Source organism: Homo sapiens, chromosome 8 (genome assembly GCF_000001405.40).
Source record: "Homo sapiens chromosome 8, GRCh38.p14 Primary Assembly".
NCBI classification, from domain to species: Eukaryota; Metazoa; Chordata; class Mammalia; order Primates; family Hominidae; genus Homo; species Homo sapiens.
In genome coordinates, this window is record NC_000008.11 from 83,402,312 (window position 1) to 83,409,242 (window position 6,931).

The 6,931-nt window shown below is 37.2% G+C and overlaps 1 long non-coding RNA gene across 1 annotated transcript; it reads left to right on the top strand.

Moving 5' to 3' along the window:
- Positions 1–1,446: 1,446 nt before the first annotated feature.
- Positions 1,447–6,589, top strand: LINC01419 (long intergenic non-protein coding RNA 1419). Its single transcript, NR_122034.1, has 2 exons — positions 1,447–1,758; positions 5,381–6,589. It is a non-coding gene; the product is annotated as a long intergenic non-protein coding RNA 1419 (long non-coding RNA).
- Positions 6,590–6,931: the final 342 nt, after the last annotated feature.

Here is a 6,931-nt window from a genome sequence, read left to right on the forward strand (position 1 = left end):
AGCCCAAATATCTCTCTGGGACTAAAACATAAAACTAAATTAAAATTTCATTCTAAAAATGGAAAAGCACTAGTTTGTAAGTTTCCTTAACTATAAAATAGCATGATGGCATGTTTTACAATATATTTTTATATCAATAAATTTGAACTAATAAGATGTTCTGGCTTTGTTTATAACATCTACCTCATTTCCTCATTAATAAGAAGTTAATTAAATATTCCACAGGTTTTTTTATCCACGTGAGTCACAATTTTACTCATAAAAACTTTTACTCATTAGAAAAGCTGTAAGAAAGTATCATATAATAATTTTATATAATTTTATGACTTTTACCTGTTTGGAGGTCTTCCAACAAGATGCCCAATGAATTCACCTGAGAGAGATGGTGGACTTTTTTTCCAGAGCAGTGCTGTTTATTTGAGCTTTTAAGCCTAGTTGTGTCATTTTGAGAGGTGACAGCGTGCTGGCAGTCCTCAGAGCCCTCGCTTGCTCGCGGCACCTCCCCTGCCTGGGCTCCCACTTTGGTGGCATTTGAGGAGCCCTTCAGTCCCCCACTGCACTGTGGGAGCCCTTTCTGGGCTGGCCAAGGCCGGAGCCCACTCCCTCAGCTTGCAGGGAGGTGTGGAGGGAGAGACACGAGCGGGAACCGGGGCTGTGTGCGGCACTTGCGGGCCAGCTGGAGTTCTGGGTGGGCGTGGGCTTGGTGGGCCCCGCACTCGGAGCAGCCAGCCAGCCAGCCCTGCTGGCCCCGGGCAGTGGGGGACTTAGCACCCGGGCCAGTGGCTGCGGAGGGTGTACTGAGTCCCCCAGCAGTGCTGGCCCACCGGCGCTGCGCTCGATTTCTCGCCGGGCCTTGGCTGCCTTCCCACGGGGCAGGGCTCGGGACCTGCAGCCCGCCATGCCTGAGCCTCCCACCCACCCACTCCATGGGCTCCTGTGCGGCCCGAGCCTCCCCGACGAGCGCCACCCCCTGCTCCACGGCGCCCAGTCCCATCGACCACCCAAGGACTGAGGAATGCGAGCGCATGGCGCAGGACTGGCAGGCAGCTCCACCTGCAGCCCCGGTGTGGGATCCACTAGGTGAAGCCAGCTGGTCTCCTGAGTCTGGTGGGGACGTGGAGAGTCTTTATATCTAGCTCAGGAATTGTAAATACACCAATCAGCACCCTGTGCTTAGCTCAAGGTTTGTGAGTGCACCAATCGACACTCTGTATCTAGCTGCTCTGGTGGGGCCTTGGAGAACCTGTGTGTGGAAACTCTGTATCTAACTAATCTGATGGGGAGGTGGAGAACCTTTGTATGTAGCTCAGGGATTGTAAAGGGCACCAATCGGCGCCCTGACAAAACAGACCACGCCGCTCTACCAATCAGCAGGATGTGGGTGAGGCCAGATAAGAGAATAAAAGCAGGCTGCCTGGGCCAGCATTGGCAACCCGCTCGGGTCCCCTTCCACATCGTGGAAGCTTTGTTCTTTCGCTCTTTGCAATAAATCTTGCTACTGCTCACTCTTTGGGTCCACGCTGCTTTTATGAGCTGTAACACTCACCGCGAAGATCTGCAGCTTCACTCCCGAGCCAGCGAGACCACGAACCCACCAGAAGGAAGAAACTCCGAACACATCTGAACATCAGAAGGGCAGACTCCAGACACGCCACCTTAAGAGCTGTAACACTCACCGCGAGGGTCCACGGCTTCATTCTTGAAGTCAGTGAGACCAAGAACCCACCAATTCCGGACACAATTTCTTGGCTCTCAGTGGTAAGCCCCACATGGAAATATAATCTACTTTTTTCTAATTTCAGTTTTCTTTCCTATAATATATTTTGGTTTTGGTTTATTAACTTACATTTGTTAAGCTATTCCCCATTGGTGGCAGCAATGATTGAAATCTGATTTTAACATGGCTGACGCCTGTAATCCCAGCACCTTGGGAAGCCAAGGCGGGCAGATCATTTGAGGTCAGGAGTTCCAGACCGGACTGGACAACATGGCGAAACTCTGTCTCTAATAAAAATACAAAAATTAGCCAGGTGTAGTGGCGCATGCCTGTAGTTCCAGCTACTCAGGAGGCTGAATTAGGAGAATCTCTTGAACCCAGGAGGCAGAGGTTGCAGTGAGCTGAGATAGCGCCACTGCAGTTCAGCCTGGGCAACCCTGTCTCAAATTAAAAAAAAAAAAAAAAATCTAATTTTCCAATTTTATCCTCTGAATATTTGTTAAATGGATTAATAATTTAGAGATAGCAACGTTCTGTTGGATGAGAGGTAATGAAATATCTCTGCTCAGCTAGTGTTTTTTGTTTGTTTCTCCATTTAAGCTCAACTCAGTTAAGAATCCTATGCCCCTTGGGAAGGACAATAGTTTTTTGATACAAGAACCAATGACATTTTTATGGTTTTGTACTAAGTCGTGACCCATGATGGAAATTATGGAATTAAAGCTATAATCTCTTTGTGTGTTTATTTTTCTAAGTGTCTGTTATTCAGAAAGGCATTTGCCCTTTGTTGTCCGGTTGTGGAACATTTTTAATTCCTCCACAGTATTATTAATAACTTAGATTCCAAAGGCTCTTAAATTAAAACTACTGGATTGACTTATGGAAAATAATAAATCCTTATAGAAATTGAATAATCCTAAAATTCACAGGAATAAAATAAAATTTAATGTTTAACACTTTTAATGTGTTTTACATGTAGTTTACAATTCTTATAAAAACTAATTCAGAAATATGAGTCTTTGTTTACAGAAATTAGGTAAAACTTTGACAAACAAGGCTAATTTAATAATTTTAGTTTAATAAAAATAGCCATGTCTACTCTGATTTATCAATGTTAAGTACAATACAAATGTACATTTTTATTCAATTTGGGGATGTTTCCATAAATGTATTCAAGTTGAATAGCCAAATAAGTTAACATTCATATTTAATATTCAAAGTTATGAAAAATGCAAATTCATTTTTAACTAAATTGAATATTCTGACATTTTAAAAAATTTCAGCAGAAACTATATTTTGCAGTAAGTCCACTTGAAATTAATTTCCAAGATATTCAGATAATTCAGAACCTTTGACTGATACCAAGCTAATTAATAGATTATACGGCAATCTTCCTAAGAAGATGAAATGATGAAACATCATTGACTATTATGTACAATTTTAAGCTACATGAATTTGCCTCCTATTTTTTACATGCTACAAATAAGTTATATCTTTGGGCCATGTAAACAAAGGTGTTAAATTTTGCCATTTTGAGAAGCTATGCATGAAACATTTGTAGTTGCAGAAAGCTGTGTTCCATGCAGCCGTAAGCTCTGCAAGTCTGCTAAGGTACTGGTGTATGAAAGACAATTCTCAATTCTTCACTCCGCCTGTGAATTTGTCTGGAGCTAAGAAAACAAACTAAGAAGTTCTCTTGGGATGTAGGACTTTTAGTGCCAAAACCTATAAAAACCAGGAGGATTAACCTACTAATATTGAGTTACAATAGTTAAAAGTTATAATCATTGTAAGTGGTTTTGACCATACTTAGGAGAAATAGTGATATAGAAATATAACAATGCTTGCTTTCTGCTTTTCAAAAAATGGAGGGTTGAGCGTGTGTGTGTGTGTGTGTGCGCATCTACATGTTTTGCATTCAGATGCTTGTACGAGCTAAAACTTTTTGATGAATCCCCTAAAAACCTTTGTCTTTGTGGGAAAAACTATCAATATTTACCTTGCAGAAACTTGAACTAAGAATTTTTAAAACATTATTTATTGATTCATTTGATCGAGGTAACAATAAGTACATGATATATGAATAATCTTCTATATTATTATGAAATTAGTCTAAACTTCCAGATGCCCTCAGATGTATTTTAAAGTAAGATGTCAGTGTGTTACATCATAAAGAAAATAGATTAGTGTAATAAAAGACAAAATCTCAAAGTGAATTTTATTTGTCCTTATTTATAATATCTGAGTCTGAAAAGTTACGTGTTAAATTCTTAGCAACGTTTACTTGATATTGGTGGATTTGTTTCCATGATTTATTACTTGCTGCCATTGCAATATGAAAGAATATTCTTTTTCTCTGTATAATCTGCTTAGATTCTATGATTTACAAGAATAATTTTCTGTTCTTTATGTTGGGCTTTATCATGCCCTTGATTATTCAGGAAAACACAAAAGTTCCTACCTTATAAAAGAGCTAAGGTTCTTTACAATTGTATTACTTTGTATGTTTATTGTTAAATGTTTTATTGTCATTTGAGTAAAATGTGTAGCCACATACTGTTTACCAGGGACCTACAATTCTATTTTAATTGTCTTTAAATCTCCTCTAACAATTTTTTTGTGACTTCCCACATCATATCCTAACTATAGAAAAAATAAAAATATTTAAGATATCTTTTATACTAAAAACTAATTTTTAAATACTCTGAAGGGCCCCTAAAAAATCACAAAGACTTGTTCTTTCACCATCTAGTAGGATGCTGGAGATAATCAGGTTTATCTGATATGGTACTATTGATAAACTAGAATGGAAGAGCTATTGAACCAGAAGATATGGTTAGTTTTCTTTAAATTATGTCAGTAATAATGTTATTAATATAAATATTTTAGAAATTGTATGCTTTATGAGAAGTCTCTAGAGATTTATCAGTGTCTTCGCTTTTCATACTGTCTCTTAAACTCAAGGAAAACACTGATGTAATTAGTATCAACATTCTGTCAAACTTTCTTGTATATCAGAGCTGGTGATGCTTTGCCTAATGATAATAGGCAACAACAGCATAATGTTATAAGTCATACTTTTAGTTATTATTTAAAATGTTAACCTGTTCAGAACTTTACTTCTTTTATTTGAATTTACTATCTTCTAGGTTAGTGGGTTTCAATTGGGAAATGGATATTCAACTTACCTATAGAGTTTTATAAAGACAAAAATATCTAGGACCTATTTCACAATCATAGAATTTCTTTAGTTGATACTCTTATTAAATTCTTGGTATGTGGTCAGTATATTATATAATATAATACCATATTATATGATATTATAATTTGTATAGATGTATAATGCTTCAGGATTATTGCATGTTTTAAATCAACTTTTTTTCCTGTTAAAATTAGGTCCTTTCATTTTATAAATTAGACCTGATATTCCCTGTGTTCTTCAAAATGAAACTTACCATAATTGGAGACATTTTTCCTAAAATGCATTTGAAATGGCTTTATTTTTTTGCATGCCACAAAAATACCAGATTTCCTTGTCAGTTATATGTTATTCTTGTCATGAAGTCTCATCAGACCTTCTAATTTGAAAGTTATCAGTAATTGATTTAATCACAGCCATATTAAGTCTCTGTCACCTACAGATAAGTTTTGTTTTACTCTCAGGCTTCCATGGAAGTTCTGCAATCAACCAGCAGGAGAACCGCTTAAACCCAGGAGGCGGAGGTTGCAGTGAGCCAAGTATGCATCACTGCACTCCAGCCTGGAAGACAGAGTGAGACCCTGTCTCAACAAAATAAATTAAAATAAAAAATAATATATTTTTCTAACTATCATCCCTTTTCCAAATCAGGAATTCCCCTTAAGTTTTCCTCAATTTCCATGGCAATATCTTTGCATAGATTCATTAAGAATTTGTCCTTTTTAAATAAAAAATATAAAGGGAACTATTCATTAGGCAACAAATGCCTTGTCTGAAATATCACATTTGAGAATGCTGCTCATTTAATCAGAAAGGTACGCTACTTTAAAGAACTGAGGTCCACTTTCTGGAGCCAAAAACTCATAAATCCCTCTCAGAAAAACCTGATTTGCTTTGTAGGGTCTCAGGTTTAGAGATGCTGAAAAAGATATTTTCGTTGCAGACAAAGGACCTCAGAGTATTTGGAGAACTTTGAGAAGAGAGGAATTCTCCCAAATGTATAGGTGTCACAGGTAAAATACAGTCGAGAGATTTTCTTGGACTTTAATTCCTTAAATCAGGATAGCAAATAATAGGGGCTTTTACAAATTCAATCTGTTTCCTTACAAAAATTTTCAGCAAAGTAATTTCAGCAAATTAATTTTCAGCAAAGTAAATGTAAGAAGACTTATGTGAAAAATTAACATTCTCCATGTATCTATGAAGCCAAACCTAATAAAACCAGCTTTAATTTGTGCTCAAGAATATTATTTCACTGAGTTTTCTTAAATCACAAAGGGGAGACTGTTATGAAAACTGATATAAAATAAAAAAAACAAGGAAGAAAAGTCTACTAGATGTCTCTAATGGAAGACTGCATTTTTAGAACATATCCTTATAGGCGATTCTAGCCTTTCTCTGCTATTTGGCTCTCACACTCTTTACCGTGCAGATAATTCACAGCAATGCAAAAGAATCCTCATCTATAGCCATGAAAATAAGTTATTTGTTATTTCTGGTAAAGGTTCAATTGACCTCCCCTTCCAGGATGAAGAAAGTTTCATGTCTTTCTGCATCATTTCAACTATTCCTTACTACATATAAATCTGCACTTGTTAACTTCTATTTTGAATTGATTGTGGCATCTGCCTGCTTCCCCATTAAAACTGAATAAAATCTTTAACACATAAAAATGTGTGAAGTAATTTTTCTGTTTCCTTGTACAAATTAGAAAGTAAAATTGATAAGTGTTCAAATGACTCAGGCTTCAAGTCCCATATTCTTCTTAGTAGAGCAGAGGATGCCTCCAATTCCAATGAGCCTAATATTATCACAAACATGGTACTTTCTTTGTGATAATACTAAATTAGGTATAACATCTTCCCAAGGATATCTTTTAAATCATCGTACTATTCTAAACTATGTATTACTGTATGCCTACTGATGTTCACTTGTTTTTCTGGGTCTGTTGGCTGCCAACAGAATTCTCAAGTGATGAAGTTCAAATCTCACTAGGCAAGGCTGTATCCATGCTA